At 39.0% G+C, this 18354-nt stretch overlaps 2 long non-coding RNA genes across 2 annotated transcripts in view; one reads left to right on the forward strand and one right to left on the reverse strand.

Annotated features, from left to right (window-relative positions):
* PKN2-AS1 (PKN2 antisense RNA 1) overlaps window positions 1–18354 on the reverse strand; it is a 147692-nt gene that overhangs the window by 76715 nt on the left and 52623 nt on the right. The window lies entirely within an intron of this gene.
* On the forward strand, window positions 1060–16947 carry LOC105378838 (uncharacterized). Its single transcript, XR_947572.4, has 3 exons — window positions 1060–1140; window positions 14937–15075; window positions 16880–16947. It is a non-coding gene; the product is annotated as an uncharacterized LOC105378838 (long non-coding RNA).

Raw genomic sequence — 18354 nt, forward strand, 5'->3', positions numbered from 1 at the left:
AAAATTCATTGCATGCCTACCATGAACAAGCACTCTTCTAGTCACAGTGAACAGAAGACACTCTGCACTCATGCACCTATAATATAGTAGGTGATAAAGACACGTAATATCAATAGTGAAAGTGCTAAGAAGAAAAATAAAGTATGTAATTATCATTACTGTTAAAGATAGGGAATTAGAGAGGATGTAAAGAAAAATTAAAAGTCTCCAGGGTTAATTTAACTTTCCGTTTAGCATAATGAGTTTAGGATTCTCTGAGACATTTTACTTTATGAGCAGAAGGTTCCTTTTGTGATAGGCTTGCCGGGAAGGAGTATCATTTGAACAGAGTCCTGAATGAACAGGGAGATGGACAACATAGATATCTGGAGAAAGGCTATTTAAGCAAAGAGAAAAAGAGGCAAAGGCCTAGAGACTGGAGCATGTTTGACCATTCAAGTACCCAGCAGATATTCAGGACATGATAGTTCCTTTGCAGCAGTGATATTTCCAGCTGCCCATTCTGCAACAAAGTTGTACCACCCCTTCATCTCCTTCAGTCTGAACTCTGGACCATACCACAAGCTATCTCTTTCTTTGAAATTCTCACACTACCAGCACTCTCACTCTCTTCTTCTCTTTTAGGTTAAGCTAAATGCTTAAAGTGTCCTCTTTTTGAAAGTTAACATATACTGAGAGCCAGATATGTGTTGAGCATTTTACTAAACAGTTTGAGTATTTTAACTTATTTGATCCTCACAAAAATCCTAGATAGTTATTATTGTGTTCCAAATGTGGAAACAGATTAAAAAGTTGAATATGGTCAAGTTCACCCAGCTAAGTTGAAACTTCAACCGAAGACATCTTGTATTTATGTCCATCAGATTAGCCACTATCCTATGCTACTTTCTTGTCAACTAAAGATACTGCAGACCTATTGATGAACAAGTTTGGAATAATCTCTGTTAAGGAAAAATCAATTGTCCTAAAGGAGTGATTTGCAATTCCAGCCTTCTAGAACTCTGGAGTGCTCATAGTCATTCATTCATTCAACATTTATTAAGCACCAGTTATGTGCAAGGACTGTGCAAGATTCTGGGGATAGAGCATGCAGCTAAAAAAGGCCCCTGTCCCAATGAGTCAAAGGTATATCAAAACTCTGTAAGTGAAATTTGTTTGCTATACTTTAAGAGTGGGGGAAGGTATATAAATAGAATAAAATAATTATAATAAACTGTTACCACCAGGGTATCTCAATTGCAAAGATAAGTTGAAAATCACCTCTCTAAAGAAGAGAGAGAGTCTAAAGGAATCTGCCTGTGTCATCATCAAGTCCCATTTGCTATATCCCAAAGGAGTCTCTTTATACTAGATTTTCAAGTATCCCATCATAAGAGTTAAAAGTCATTAGGTCCAAATGTGTTCTTTATTGTTTGAGGGTTTTCATCTATGTGTATTTTTACTACCTGGGGTTTGAAAAGCTGCAAACTAAATTTCATAAACCATAAAAACTTATAATGCTATTAACTTGGGATGAGCTTAATCTTTCATTTCCTATCTCCTTCAACCTTACTGGAGTTTCACCTTTCATCATTCCTGTATGCATACTGGGTTCTGTGCACCTATGTGGGTGAGGTGCTAATAAGCAACAAGACTGTATTGATCCTGTTCATATGCTCTACAGTATCCTGTTTCTCACCTACAGAGTGCTGGCTGGCAAACCCAAGGAGCACTCAGAATAACACACTCTGTTAGGCAACAATGAGTTTTATGAAGTTGAAATGGTCCCTACTGACTCGGGGGGATAAAATCCCAGCTAACACAATCAGCACTGTGGAATCAAATTTTCAGTGATGATAGAAATATTCTATATCTGTGTTGTCCAATACAGTAGGCACTAGCAACGGCAATAGAGCATTGGAAATGTGGCTAATGTAACCAAGAAAGTAAATTTTTAATTTCATTTAATCTTGATGAATTTAAATTTTAAAACTCACCTTTGGCTGATAGCTACTATATTGATAGTAGCAGCCACATAAGAGAAAGACTTCTCATTATTTTAAAATATTCTTTTTTTTTTTTTGAGACGGAGTCTCCCTCTGTCACCCAGGCTGGAGTGCAGTGGTGTGATCTCGGCTCACTGCAACCTCCACCTCCCAGGTTCAAGCAATTCTTCTGCCTCAGCCTCCCGAGCAGCTGGGATTACAGGCACGCGCCACCACGCCTGGCTAATTTTTGTATTTTTAGTAGAGATGGGGTTTCACCATGTTGGCCAGGCTGGCCTTGAATTCCTGACCTTGTGATTTTCCCGCCTTGGTCTCCCAAAGTGCTGGGATTATAGGCATGAGCCACCACGCCCGGCCATTTTTAAATATTCTTAATGGCATTAAAGCTGCTACAATTCTTTTTTGTTGATTTTTCTTTTTTCTTTTATTTTTAACTGAAAATAATAATTGTATAGATTCATAATATACACTGTTATATTCTGATTTATGGTTATATTGTGGAGTGATTAAATCAAGCTAATTAACAAGTCTCACCTCACATACTTATTTTTTGCAATGAAAATATTTAAAATCTACTTTTACAGAAAATTTCAAATATACCATGCTAAAATTCTTAAACTGACTTTTTCATAAAACAATAATTTTATAATTCTATTTTAGGGCTTCTACTGCTAATAAAAAGTGGCAATGATTGATTTATTGCAAAATGACATTTTCTTATTAAACAACAATTGCATATTTTATGGCTTATCTCACTAATGCCACAGAGCTAAATGCCTTGCTTTAAAGTGTTTATATTTACTAGTGCAAGATTTGAGGACATGTAAATTTTAGTATTCAATATAAGGTTTCACCTGAAAGGCAGAGAAAAGCATTTCAGTCCATTGGCAGATGAAGGAATATACAAATCCATTAGTATATACATAGAATAGAATATTATTCATCCTTTAAAAAGAAGGAAATTCTGATACATGCTGCATCCTGGATGTACTTTGAAGACATTTTTTAAGTGAAATAAGCCAGTCACAAAAGGACAAATGCCATATGATTCCACTTATATGAGGTACCTATAGTAGTCAAATTCATAGAGACATAAAGTAGAATGGTGATTGCCAGGGGCTGAGGAGAGGGGAGATGGGCAGTCACGTTTAATGGGTACAGAGCTTCAGTTAGGGAAGATGAAAAGGTCCTGAAGATGGATGATGTGGATAGTTGCACAACAATGTGAATGTACTTTATACCAAAGAACTGTACACTTAAAAATGGTTAAAATGGTAAATTTCACGTTGTATGTATTTGACCACAATAAAAAAATTCAATAATTCTTTTAAAAAAAAAGCATTTCTTAAGATGAGCTCTTACAGAGTGAATCAGACATTGCAATATAGTCAACCCTCAGTCTGCCCAAAGCTCCTGAAGAAAAAGAATAGATCAGATTCAACAAATTACAGACAATCCAAGATCCCTAATAACAGCCAAACACTTTTAAAGCATCAGGTCTCCTGAGAATTCACTCACTATCATGAGAAAAACATGGGAGAAACCACCCCCATGATCCAGTCATCTTCCACCAGTTCCCTCCCTCAACATGTGGGGATTACAATTCAAGATGAGATTTGGGTGGGGACACAGAGCCAAACCATATTATTCCACACTTACCCTCTCCCAAATCTCATGTTCTTTTCACTTTTCAAAACCAATCATACCTTCCCAACAGTCCCCTAAAGTCTTAACTCATTCCAGCATTAACTCAAAAGTCCAAGTCCAAAGTTTCATCTAAGACAAGGCAAGTCACTTTCACGGATGAGCTTGTAAAATCAAAAACAACTTAGTTACTTCCAAGATAAAATGGGGATACAGGCATTCGGTCAATGTTCCCATTCCAAATGAGAGAAATTGGCCAAAAGGGCCACAGGCCCCATGCATATCTGAAACCCAGCAGAGCAGTCATTAAATATTAAAGTTCTGAAATGATATCCTTTGACTCCATGTCTCACACCCAGGGCACACTGATGCAAGGAGTGGGCTCCCAGGGCCATAGGCAGCTCAGTCCCTGTGGTTCTGCAGTGTACAGCCCCACAACTGCTTTCACAAGCTGGCATTGAAAGCCTGCAGCTTTTCCAGGTGCATAGTGCAAGCTGTCAGTTGATCTATGATTCTGGGGTCTGAAGGGCAGTGACCCTCTTTTCATAGCTCCACTAGGCAGTGCCCCAGTGGGGACTCTGTGTGGGGACTCCAACCCCACATTTTCCCTCGCATTGCCCTAATAGAGGTTCTCCATGAGGGCTCCACCCCTGCAGCAGACTTCTGCCAGGACATCAAGGCACTTCCATACATCCCCTGAAATATAGCTAGAGGTTCCCAACCCTAAACTCTTATCTTCTGCGCACTCACAGGCCCAACACCACCTGGAAGCCACAAAGGCTTGGGTCTTGCACCCTCTGAAGCAACAGCCTGAGCTGTACCTTGGGCCCTTTTATCCACAGCTGGAGCTGGAACTGCTGGGACACATGACACCATGTCCCAAGGTTGCACAGAGCAGTAGGGTCTTGGTCCTGGTGCAAAAAAACTATTTTTCCTTCCCAGGCCTCCAGGCCTGTGATGAGAGGGTCTGCTGTGAAGATCTCTGAAATACCCTGGAGACATTTTTCCCATTGTCTTGGCTATTAACATTGGCTCCTGGTTACTTATTCAAATTTCTGCAGCTGGCTTGAATTTCTCCCCAGAAAATGGATTTTTCTTTTCTACCACATGGTCAGGCTGAAAATTTTCCAAACTTTTATGTTCTGCTTCCCTTTTTGACATAAGTTCCAATTTCAGACCATCTCTTTGTGAACACATATGACTGAACACTTTCAGAAAAAGCCAGATGACACCTTGAATGCTTTGCTGCTTAGAAACTTATTCTGCCAGATACCCTAAATCATCTCTCTTAAGTTCAAAGTTCCACAGATCTCTAGGGCTAGAGCAAAATGTTGCCAGTCCTTTGCTAAAGAATAGCAAGGGTGACCTTTACTCCAGTTCCCAGTAAGTTCCTCTTTCCCATCTGAGACCACCTCAGCCTAGACTTCATTGTTAATATCACTATGAGCATTTTGGTCAAAACCATTCAACAAGTCTCTAGGAAATTCCAAACTTTCCCACATCTTCCTACCTTCTTCTGAACCCTCCAAACTGTTCCAACCTCTGCCCATTACTAAGTTCAAAGTTGCTTCCATATTTATAGCAGTGCCCCACTCCCAGTACCAATTTTCTGTATTTGTCTGTTTCCACCCTGCTATAAATAACTACCCAACACTGGGTGGTTTATTAAAAAAAAAAAAAAAAAAAAAAGGTTTAACTGACTCAAAGTTCCACATGGCTGGGAGGCCTCAGGAAACTTACAATCATGGCAGAAGGAGGAGAAGTAAGTACCTTCTTGCAAGGCAGCAGGAGAGAGAGAGAGAGTGAGGGAGGGGGGCTGCCAAAAACTTTTAAAGCATCAGATCTCATGAGAACTCACACACTATCATGAGAACAGCATGTGGGGGAAACCACCGCCATAATCCAATCACTTCCAACAGGTCCCCCCCACAACATGTGGAGATTGCATTTCAAGATGACATTTGGGTGGAGACATAGAGCCAAATCATATAAGGTTCTTAACCAGGCTAAGCTGGCTGAAATGATAGAAATAGAATTCAGAACATGGATAGAAATAAAGACCATCGAGCTTCAGGAGAATGGCAGAACCCAATCCAAGGAAACTAAGAATCATAATAAAAGGATACAGGAGCTAAATAGCCAGTATACAAAAGTACCTAACTGATCTAATAGAGCTGGGAAAACACACCACAAGAATTTCACAATGTAATCACAAGTATTATCAGCAGAATAGACCAAGCTGAGGAATCTCAGAACCGGAAGACTGACTCTCTGAAATAAGACAGTCAGACAATAAGAAAAAATAATAAAAAGGAATGAACAAAACCTCCAAGAAATATAGGATTATGTAAAGAGGCCAAATCTATGAATTACTGGCATCCCTGAAAGGGATGAGGAGAAAACAAACAACTTGGAAAGCATATTTTAAGATATTGCTCATGAAAACTTCCCCTACTTTGCTAGAGAGGCCAACGGTCAAATACAGAGAACTCCTGCAAGATTCTACACAAGAAGATCATCCCCAAGACACGTAATCATCCCATTTTCCAAGGCCAAAATGAAAGAAAGAATATTAAAGGCAGGTAGAGAGAAAGGGCAAGTCATCTACAAAGGGAACCCCACCAGGCTAACAGCAGCCCTTTTAGCAGAAACTCTATAAGCCAGAAGAGATTGGGGGCCTATATTCAACATTCTTGAAGGAAAAAAAAATCTTCCACCAAGAATTTTGTATCCAGCCAAACTAACTTTCCTAAGCAAAGAAGTGAGATCCTTTTCAGGTAACCAAATGTTGATGAAATTCATTGCCACCAGACCCTCCTTACCAGAAATCTTGAAAGGAGCACTAAATATGGAAAGGAAAGACCATTACCAGCCAATACAAAAACACACTTAAGTAAATGGACCAGTACTGTAAAGCAACCACAAAAACAAGTCAGCATAATAACCAACTAACAACACAATGACAGGATCAAAGTCATACATATCAATATTAACCTTGAATGTAAATGGGCCAAGTACTGCCGTTTAAAAGGCAGAGTGGAAAGCTGGATTTAAAAAAAAAAAAAAAAAAAAAAAAGCAAGACCCAATGGTAGGCTGTTTTCAAGAGACTCACCTCACATGCAATGACACTGGAAATAAAGGGATAGAGGAAAATCTACTAAGCAAATGGAAATCAGAAAAAAGCAGGAATTGCATTCCTAATCTCAGACAAAAACCAGCATAGATCAAAAAAGACAAAGAAGGGTATTACATAATGGTAAAGGGTTCAATTCAACAAGAAGACCTACCTATCCTAAATATATATGCACCCAACACGGAAGCATCCATATTCACAACCTGAACTCAGCACTGGGCCAAATGGATCTGATAGATATCTACAGAACTCTCCACCCCAAAACAACAGAGTATACATTTTTATCATTGCCACATAGCACTTACTCTAAAACTGACCACACAATAAAACATAAAACAATCATCAGGTAACACAAAAGAACTGAAACCATACCAAACACACTCTCGGACCACAGGACAATAAAGATAGAAGTCCAGACTAACAAAGAACATTCTAAACCATGCAATTAAGGAAAATTAAACAACCTGCTCCTGAATAATTTTTGCATAAATAATGAAATTAAGATAGAAATCAAGAAGATCTTTGAAAATAATGAGAACAAAGATACAACATACCAGAATCTCTGGGACACAGCTAAGGCAGTTAGTGTTAAGAGGTAAATTTATAGCACCAAACGCCCACATCAGAAAGTTACAAAGATCTCAAATTAACAACCTAATATCACAACTGAAAGAACTAGAGAAGCAAGAGCAAACCAACCCCAATGCTAGCCGAAGACAAGAAATAACCAAAATCAGGCTGACCTGAAGGAAATTGAGACCTGAAAAACCATTCAAATATTAATAAACCCAGGAGTTGGTTTTTTTAAAACAAATAAAATACATAGTCTGCTAGGTAGACTAATAAAGAACAAAAGAGAGAAGATACAAATAAACACAACTAGAAACAACAAAGGGGATATTACCACTGACCCCACAGAAATAAAAATAACCATCAGAAACTACTATGAACACCTCTATGCACACAAACTAGAAAATCTAGAAGACATAGATAAACTCCTGGACACATACCCCTCTCAAGACTGAACCAGGAAGATATTGATCCCCTGAACAGACCAGTAATGAGCTCCAAAACTGAATCAGTAATAAATAGCCTACCAACCTAAGAAAGTCGAGGACCAGATGGATTCACAGCCAAATTCTAACAGATGTAAAAGAAAAGCTGGTACCATTTCTACTGAAATTATTCCAAAAAACTGAGGAGGAGGGGGCCCTCCCCAACTCATTCTATGACACCAGCATCATTCTGATACCAGAACCTGGCAGAGACAAAACGAAAAAAGGGAACTTCAAGCCAATATCCTTGATGAAGATTGACACAAAAATTTTCAACAAAATACTTGCAAACTGAATTCAGCAGCACATCAAAAAGCTAATCTACCATGATCAAGTAGGCTTCATCCCTAATATGCAAGTTTGGTTCAACATAGTCAAATCAGTAAATGTAACACATCACATAAATAGAACTAAAGACAAAAACCACATGATTATCTCAATAAAGGCAGAAAAGGCTTTCAATAAAATTCAGCATTCCTTCATGTTAAAAACTCTCAATAGGCCAGGCAGAGAGGCTCACGCCTGTGATCCCAGCATTTTGGGAGGCCAAAGAGGGGTGATCACTTGAGGTCAGGAGTTTAAGACCAGCCTGGCCAACAGGGTGAACCCCCATCTCTACTAGAATACAAAAATTAGCTGGGTATGGTGGCACAAGCTCATAATCCCAGTTACTCGGGAGGCTGAGGCACAAGAATCACTTGAACCTGGGAGGCAGATGTTGCAGTGAGCCAAGATCACACCACTGCACTCCAGCCAGGATGACAGAGTGAGAAAAAAAAAAACCCACCTCAATAAATAATTTGAAAAGGTACTGAAGGAACATACCTCAAAAGAGTAAAAGCCATATATAGCATACCCACAGCCAACATCATACTAAATGGGGAAATGCTGGAAGCATTCCCCTTAAAAACTGGCACAAGACAAGGATGCCCTCTCTCACCACTCCTATTCAACATAGCATTGGAAGTCCTGGCCACAGTGATCAGGAACCAGAAAGAAATAAAAGGAATCCATATAGGAAGAGAGGAAGTCAAATTATCCCTGTTTACAGATGACATGACTCTATATCTAGAAAACTCCATAGTCTCAGCCCAAAAGTTCCTTCAGCTGATAAACTCCAGCAAAGTATCAGGATACAAAATCCACATATAAAAATCACTAGCATTCCTATACACCAAGAACAGCCAAGCTGAGAGCCAAATCAGGAACACAATCCCATTCACAATTGCCACAAGAGAATAAAATACCTATGAATACAGCTAACCAGAAACCAGGAAGTTGAAAAATTTCTACAATGAGAATTACAAAACACTGCTCAAAGAAGTCAGAGATGACACAAACAAACGGAAAAACATTCCATGTTCATGAATAGAAAGAATTGATATCATTAAAATGGCCATACTACCCAAAGCAATTTACAGATTCAGTGCTATTCCTATCAAACTACCAATGACATTGTTCACAGAACTAAAAAAAAAAAAAAAAAAAAAAAAAAAAAACTATTTTAAAATTTACATGGAATAACAAAAGAGCACAAATAGCCAAGGCAATCCTAAGCAAAAAGAATAAAAGTGAAGACATCACATTACCCAATCTCAAATTATACTACAGGGCTACGGTAACAAAAACAGCATGGTTCTGGTACAAAAACAGGCACATAGACCAACGGAACAGAATAGAGAGCTCAGAAATAATGCTGCAAACCTACAACCATCTGATCTTCTTCAAAGTTGACTAAAACAAGCAATGGGAAAAGTGCTCCCTATTCAATAAATGGTGTTGGGATAACTGGCTACCCATATTTGGAAGATTGAAACTGGATCCCTTGCACCATATACAAAAATCAACTCAAGATGGATTAAAGACTTAAATATAAAACCCAAAACTGTAAAAACCGTGGAAGACAACCTAGGCAATACCATTCTGGACATAGGAATGGCAAGATTTCATGATGAAGACACCAAAGTTAATCACAACAAAAGCAAAAATTGACAAATGGGATCTAACTAAACTTAAGAGCTTCTGTGCAGCAAATGAACTATCAACAGAGTAAATAGACATCTTACAGAATGAGAGAAAATATTTGCAAAAGCCTAATATCGAGCATCTGTAAGGAACTTAAACAAATTACAAGAAAAAAAAATTCCATTAAAAAGTGGGCAAAGGGTGTGAACACTTTCCAAAAGAAGACATAGGCAGGGCACAGTGACTCACGCCTGTAATCCCAGCAATTTGGGAGGCCCAGGTGGGCGGATAATTTGAGGTCAGGAGTTCCAGACCAGCCTGGCCAACATGGTGAAACCACATCTCTACTAAAAATACAAAAATTAGCCGGGCGTGGTGGCACATGCCTGTAGTCCCAGCTACTTGGGAGGTGAAGGCAGGAGAATCGCCTAAGTCTGGGAGGTGGAGATTGCAGTGAGCCGAGGTCATGCCACTGCACTGCAGCCTAAGTGACAGAGTAAAACTCTATCTTAAAAAACGAAAAAAGACATATATGTGGCCAACAAACATGAAAAGAAGCTCAATATCACTGATCATTAGAGAAATGTAAATCAAAACCACCAGTTTTGATTGGTGAGATACCATCTCATACCAGTCAGAATGGCTATTAAAAAGTAAAAAATAACAGATGCTAGGGAGGTTGCAGAGAAAAGGGAACACTTACACACTGTTGGTGGGAGTGTAAATCAGTTCTACCATTGTGGAAAGCAGTGTGGGAATTCCTCAAAGAGCTAAAAACAGAACTACCCTGAGACCCAGCAATCCCACTATTGGGTATATACCCAAAGAATACAAATCATTCTACCGTAAACACACATGTATGCATATGTTCATTGCAACTTCACAATAGCAAAGACATAGAAATCAACCTAAATGCCCATCAATGACAGATTGAAAAAAGAATATGTGGTACATACATACCATGGAATACTATGCAGCCATAAGAAAGAATGAGATTATGTCTTTTGTGGGGATATAGATGGAGCCAGAGGTCATTATCCTTAGCAAACTAACACAGGAACAGAAAACCAAATAACACACGTTCTCACTTATAAGTGGAAGCTAAATGATAAGAACTCATGAACACAAAGAGGATAACAACAGACACTAGGGCCTACTTGAGGCTCAAGGGTGGGAGGAGGGAGAGGGTCAGAAAAAAATACCTATTGAGCACCAGGCTTAGTACCTCAATAATGAAATAATTTGTAAAACAAACTCCAGTGACATTGAGTTTGCCTATATAACAAACCTACACATGTACCCCAAACCTAAAATAAAAATTTAAACATTTAAAAATAAAAATAAAAGGACTGCATTTCCCAGTCTCCTTTGCAGCTATGTATGCCATGTGACTCAGATCTAGCTAAAGAATACAAGCAGAAGTAAAATATGCCTGCCAGGGGACACTAGGCAATGTCTGGAGTCATTTTTCATTGTCACAACTGGGGACAGGGAGGTGACATTCCTGGCACCTATCGAGTAGAGGCCAGGGATGCTTCTAAACATCCTATAATGCACAGGACATCTCCCCACAACAAAGAATTGTCTGGTCCAAAATAACAATAGTCTGATGGTCAGAAGTCCTGACTTAAAAGGGAAAGACACATCCATCCCCTTCTTTTTCCCTTCTGTCAGGTTGGAATTGGGACATAGGAGTGATCCATATTGGGCCACAGAGAGAGAAGCAACATCCTGGAGATGACAGAGCAAAACAGCAGGCTGGTGCCTCATAACTTCACAGTGCAGAGTCACCCTATCATCTCAGGCTTTAAATGAGAGTGAAATAAACTTCTATCTTGTCTAATCTACTCGTATTTTGAGTCTCTATTTTATGCACCTGAAGCTATATCCTAACCAACAGAGAAGCTAAACTTGACTGAGAGTCCTTTCAGGTGGACTGCCAAAAAAGAACAGATTTGAAAATCACGGGGGACAGAAATCCCTTCTTTACTATTTAGCCTCCATTTCCCCGTGTATCTAGTAGCAGAACTTCCTTTACGGAAATCCTCCCAGCCTTCTTCCCTGCCATGTTGTTTGGATGGGAATGACTCCGATATCCACCCCCACAGTGGACCGTGATTGACTTAAGCAAAACCTCAACTCCTTGGCCATGGTAATTGAGTCTGAGAAAGACTTTCACTGTTCCACTGGATCTTTCAGATGAAGATGTGGGACTTGGAAACGCTGCAGCCATCTTGTCTCATTAGGGAAGCAGCCCAGTGATAAAGTTGGCATCACAAAGGAAGAAAGAGTTGAAAGATGATGAGAAACCCATCATTTGATCCCCCAGATCAAACTGCATCTATGATAAGCCCTACCTCTGGCTCTTTCAAATACATGAGCCAATAAATGTTTTACTTACACAAATTTTTTTTTTTTTTTGAGATGAAGTCTCCTTCTGTCTCCCAGGCTGGAGTGCAGTGGCGCGATCTTGTCTCACTGCAACCTCTGCCTCCCGGGTTCAAGCGATTCTCCCACCTCAGTCTCCCGAGAAGCTGGGATTACAGGTGCGCACCACCACACCTGGCTAATTTTTGTATTTTTAGTAGAAACGGGTTTTCACCATGTTGGTCAGGCTGGTCGCAATCTCCTGACCTCGTAGTTACACAAATTTTTGTTAGGTATTCTGTCACTTGCAACTGAAAGAATCCTAACAGGTACAGAGAGTTTTACGGTTTGAAAAAAAAAATCTGACAGGAGAAGGAACTGACAGGAGAAGTTTCACTTTTAGGACCTTTTTATTTCTCTCAAGGATTAGGACATCATCTGCAAGGTTCCTGTGGCAAGAAAACAATGAGAACAGAAGTTCTGCCATTGTCTGATATACATGTGCTAGGGGAAGTGGATGTGAAGAGATTTGAACCGTTCATATTTCTTAGTATAATATATATCCCTTAGACTTTAGAAGTAGCATTACTGCTCTCACACGATATTCCAGCTTCTCATCACCATACCTAACTTATCCGATATTCAAATAATCAAGCTGGAGGGGGATTCTACTTTTCCTTCATGTTGTTTTTCTCAGCAATTAGTTTAGTGAAGGCCAGAGATGTCTAGCAATTATTATGATTATATTCAATTGCTCAGTTTTCTTAGGAATCCATCATAAACTATCAGTTCTAGATACACAGAAATTTGTATTAATGTTTCTTAAACTTCCACTTCACTTGCCTGTTTCTTATTCCTGGGTTTCATGTTCCTATCTTTCCTAAGCATTGCCCCAGACTCTAGTTTGTGCTGAACTAGATATCAGCTTCAAAGGAATTCTCAGAGACAACACATGCTTTCGAGACTCAAAGCAATATTACTCTGATAGAATGTCAGAAAGGAGCTATGGCAGATGATGTTGGCAATGTTTTCAGGCTAGAGGTCTTCTTTATCATTCAAATCAGATGCCAAATACATTTGTCTCAATGATAATTATGAGTTTTCGCTATTTTTGTCCTGTATTTTATAAGTAATATTCAGCCTCTGTGGTTGTTCTTGATCTTATATTTTATTGATCTTGTGTTATAGTATATATTTTTTTGAGACAGAGTCTCGCTCTGTCGCCCAGGCTGGAGTGCAGTGGTGCAATCTCGGCTCACTGCAACCTCTGCCTCTCGGGTTCAAGCAATTCTCCTGCCTCAGCCTCCTGAGGAGCTGGGACTACAGGTGCCCACCATCACGCCCAGCTAATTTTTGTATTTTTAGTACAGACGGGGTTTCACCATATTGGCCAGGCTGGTCTCGAACTCCTGAGCTTGTGATCTGCACACCTCAGCCTCCCAAAGTGCTGGGATTACAGCTGTGAGCCACCATGCCTGGCCGATACTCCAGATTTTAATGTGTGAAGACCATGTTACCCCAGATCTAACCTACATGCAGTTTCATAGCTGTGTGACCTAGGAAAAGATATCTAACCTCTCTGTGCCCTAATTTCCTCCTCTTTAAAATGAAAAGAAATGCGAATTATGGTATTGCATATTCTGATAATTGCCATATTTCAGTTCAAAGTGTAATGCCTCAAACATCAACAACTCTGAAGTATTAGCAATCCACTACACAAATGATTGCTTGCAAAAAAAAAAAAAAGAAGAAGAAAAAGGAAGGAAGGAAAGAAGGAAGGAAGGAAGGATTGATTCAATGCTATTCAATGCTAAGACTTGAGGCCAGAGCTGCAAATGGATAAACCTTACACATTTCACACATCAGATATTCTATGAAACTAGCTACTACATTGTCCATAAGCAATTTGAGTGAAGATTTCTGACCTAGCAGAGCATCTACCTTGAGATATTTGTTGAACTACACTAACTCTTGCCTCAGGGCCTTTGGACGCAATGTTCCATTTACTTTGAATATTCTAGCACCTCTTGTTGCCTTCCTATTACCCATATATCCCATAAGACCTGAAATATTTCCTACAATTTCCCATGGCAATGAAAGGATCAGCTGTCAGTCTAGATACCACTTTTTGTGGAAAGTCTTCTCTAACCACCACGCCACCCAATCCAACCATTCCACAGTTCCCTATTCTTCCCAGTTACAGCCATTACCAATCTGGATTTAAATTTTCTATTTACTATTTACTTACACAAGAGTATAAGTTCCGTAAGGACATATCTGCTGTGTGCAGATATGAAGTGCTCAATAAACACTTGTTGAAAGAAGGGAGGGAGAGAAACATAGATGGATAGTTGGATAGTAGGAAGGATTAATAGACAGGTATGGTTAGTCTCTTCATGTTGTCCTTTACAAATCTGAAAGCTGACAGACCCACCCATGATTGCAAGGCATTTTTAGTTTTTCAAAGTATTTCACATCCATTATTTTATAATACCTTTCTGAGTAAATAAAGAAACAAGAGAAGATCTCACTTTTAAAATATGAGTATAAAGACTGTTAAAAGATTAGAAAATGCAGAGAGTTTAAAGTGACATAAGAAAACCTAACTGGAGGGGAAATCTGTTACTGAAAACTAACTCTGTACTCTTTCTGTTCATCTACACTACTCTCAAGCTGATATTGGCAATGTTTTCAGGCAAAGTCTTCTTAATCACTCAAATCAGATGATGAATAAGTTCATCTCAATGATAAATGTTTTAGCTGCCTTGTTGTCCTGTATTTTATAGGTACTACTCCACCTCTGTGGTTGAAGATCAAGGGCTCAAGTACTGAGAAAGGCCACCAAGAAACCCAAGCAGTGTGACTCTTAATACAAAACAAGAAATTAATCTACTGCTAGCTTAAAATCTTCAAACGTTTGCATTAGTAAGAATAAAGATACACTCAACTATGTTAAAAAAAAGTTAATTGAATATGACCCACCTGCAAACTAATATGATTGTATGTACTGTGCACAATGGCCATGTGTTTTGCATATTGTTGTTTTCAAGGGAACTATGATTGCAATTTTGATTAATTGGACTAGTTCTTGAATTTAGGATCAAACTGAAAGCTGTATAATTTCTTAGGCCCGTTTAATGTCCTTTACATACTTTATTGGAGGTCTTGAAAATCATTTTTAAAAACTGAAATTCGTTTTTGTCCTAATCCCCTAGAGATTGATGCAGTGAAATTTATCATGCCATGATGATTAAAAATGCTGAAATGACTCATGATATAATTAGAGATTTTTTTAATCCAAGTCAAGCCTATGAACTACATCTAAAACTGGTTCACTTTAAAGTATCCCAAACAAATTTAGCGGCTTATACAAAGACATAGTAGGAGAGAACAAGGAATACTATGAGACCTGCAGGAAAACCAATATGGCTAAAACACATGTAACAAAATGAAGAAACTTTTACTCTTTTGGCAACTAGTACAAGAATTCCTCTAAGAATATAACACCATATTTTAAGGAAATATTTTAATAAGCTACATGGGATGAGAGACAAGATCTTAAGGGACATAGTCAAGCTAAAAATGATGGTAACTAAACAAGAATGGAATATGCAAATAGAAGAACACTTTGTTTTGGTGAGCCCTTTGATGGAGTTAGATAAAGCCAAATTGCTCAGTACAATAAAGAAATGAATGTAAAGAACTTGGAGTGAGGGTACGGGCTGGATCCAAAAAGGCTATATGCCTTGGGAGGAAGATAAAGACCAAAACAGTCCTTGGAGTGCCACAGCTAAGAAAAAATTTTGGGGAAAAAAATCTCAAATGGTTATTACTATACCAAGTATAATAAAATATCTCCCTCATCTCCCCATAAATTCCTTGTTTCTCACTAAGACTTTTATAAATGTGGGTTTGGGAAAGATAATATGATGATATGCAAGAGTTCTATGTCTACGAGGGTGTAATATTTTTAAAAATAATGGATAGGGAACAGCTGGCATCTGAGCTTACATACCGTGTATGAGGAAAGTGAGAAGGGATGAGTCTGGAGGAATGAGCAGGACAATTTTATGAGGGGCTATGAGAGCAATCTTAAAAATTGCGCACCTTGTCCTAGGGCAAATAGGAAACAGTTAAAAAGATTTAAGGAGGGGAAAAACATCATCAGGTTTATAATTTTAAAGTAATATTCTGGCCAGGCGCAGTGGCTCATGCCTTTGGGGAGCCAAGGCGGGTGGATCATCTGAGGTCAGGAGTTCAAGACCAGCCTGGCCAACATGGTGAAACCCTTTCTCTACTAATAATAAAAAGATTATCTGGGCTTGGTGGTGCATGCCTACAATCCCAGCCACTCGGGAGGCTGAGGCAGGAGAATCTATTGAACCTGGGAGGCAGAAGTTGCAGTGAGCCAAGATTGCAGCCATTGCACTCCAGCCTGGGTGACAAGAGCAAAACTCCATCTCAAAAACAAATAAATAAAATAAAAATTAAAAAAATAAAAGAATATTCTGGCAGCAATCCAGAGAATGGGTTGGAGGAAGCAATGTTAGAGGCAAAAGGAAAGTTTGCAGCAATCCAGGTAAGAAATGTTAATAGCCGGAACTGGTAAAACAGCAATAGAGATGGAGAGAAATAGACAAACTAGACATATTTAAAAGTTATAACAAATGAGCCTTAGTAATTGATTGGATGTGGAAAACAGACTGACCAATCTTCCTCTTATTTTCAGAACTGAGGGGATTCTACAATGTGGCAGTTCCAGTTTAAAAGTGGAGACAGCTCTGAACAAACCATGACAGTTTGCATGGAACGGAGGGGTTCCACATGCTAAAACCAGAAAAGTCCTGAGAAAACTGGGACCCAGTTTCTGGCTTAGGAATGAAGTAATCAGTCTATGAGACAGGGAAGGCAGCAACAGGAACAGATTCAGGTGGGAAGAGGATGCTGAGTTTCGTTGTTGAACGTGTTCAGTTTCAGGAGCCAATAGGACTCCAAGAATAAATATCCAAAAGAATTATCAAATTCTTTTCAGAATTTGATAATCAAGAGGGAAAGTTAGATCTAAAATATAGTTTTGAAAGTTATCAGCACTTGAGGCTATGTATGCGAATGAACAAGATTGTCCAGGGATAATTTATACAGATATTAGGGAGGGAAAGAGAGGGACAGCAAGGAAAGGGGAGGGGAGGGGAGGGGAGAGAAGGGGACTGAGAACAGAATTCTGGTAAATATCAATACTTACAAGATATGCAAAGGTGACTGAAATGGAGCAGCTAAAATGGCAAGATAAAAACCAAGAGTACATTGTCTGGAAGTCAGGGCAAGACAATATTTGAAGAAGGAGGCGAGGTCAGTGTCAAGTGCTACAGACAAACTAGGTAAGACAGAGGCTGAAAATTATCCTTTGGATTTAAGAGCAAGAAAATCATTATTGATCTTAGTGAAAGCAGTTTCAGAGAAATAGTAGGAGAAGCAAGACTGAGGAATGAATGGCAGATAAGAAAGCAAAGATAGGGAGATAAGGATAAAGATACCTCTTTTTGAAAGTTTCAAAGGAGGTGAGATATAAGGAGAGTAGAAGGAGAGATGTAGCATTGAGGGAAAGTTTTTTATAATAATTATCTTAGCACAGGATCTCTAGGAGCCTGAAGTAGGACTAAACACTGTTCTTTTTCTGTGAGATTCAAGCCCAGGGAAGTGAGGGTGAGGAAAAGGGGAAAATTGGACAAGATGAGATGCAAAGCTGTGTTGAAGCACTGATTGCCACTTCACAATGAGCCATGAAGAAACAGAACAGGTTGCTCATCACGTGTATTTGCAGGCCTTTTTGAGGGACTGTGAGAAGAAATTTCACCTCAGAGTAGTGCGTGGAGAGGAGATGAATTGAGAGTTTACCTTATGCTTTCCTACTCTGGAATCTCACTGGTCAAGGCTCATCTCATAGTTTGTTTTGCTTTTCTAATTCCTTGAGGTGAATCATTAGGTGGTTTGTGTGAAATCATTCTGTTTTAATGTAACCATGTTTTAATTTTTCCTCTTAGTACTGCTTTCCATATGTCCATAGATTTGGTATGCTGTGTTTCTGTTTTCATTTGTTTCCAAAAATGTTTTCACTTCCATCTTAATTTTTTCATTTGCCCATTGGTTGTTCAGGGCATGTTGTTTAATTTCCATGTATTTATAGTTTCCTATGTTCTTGTTGAT

The sequence above is a fragment of the Homo sapiens genome, chromosome 1 (genome assembly GCF_000001405.40).
Source record: "Homo sapiens chromosome 1, GRCh38.p14 Primary Assembly".
Lineage (NCBI taxonomy): Eukaryota > Metazoa > Chordata > Mammalia > Primates > Hominidae > Homo > Homo sapiens.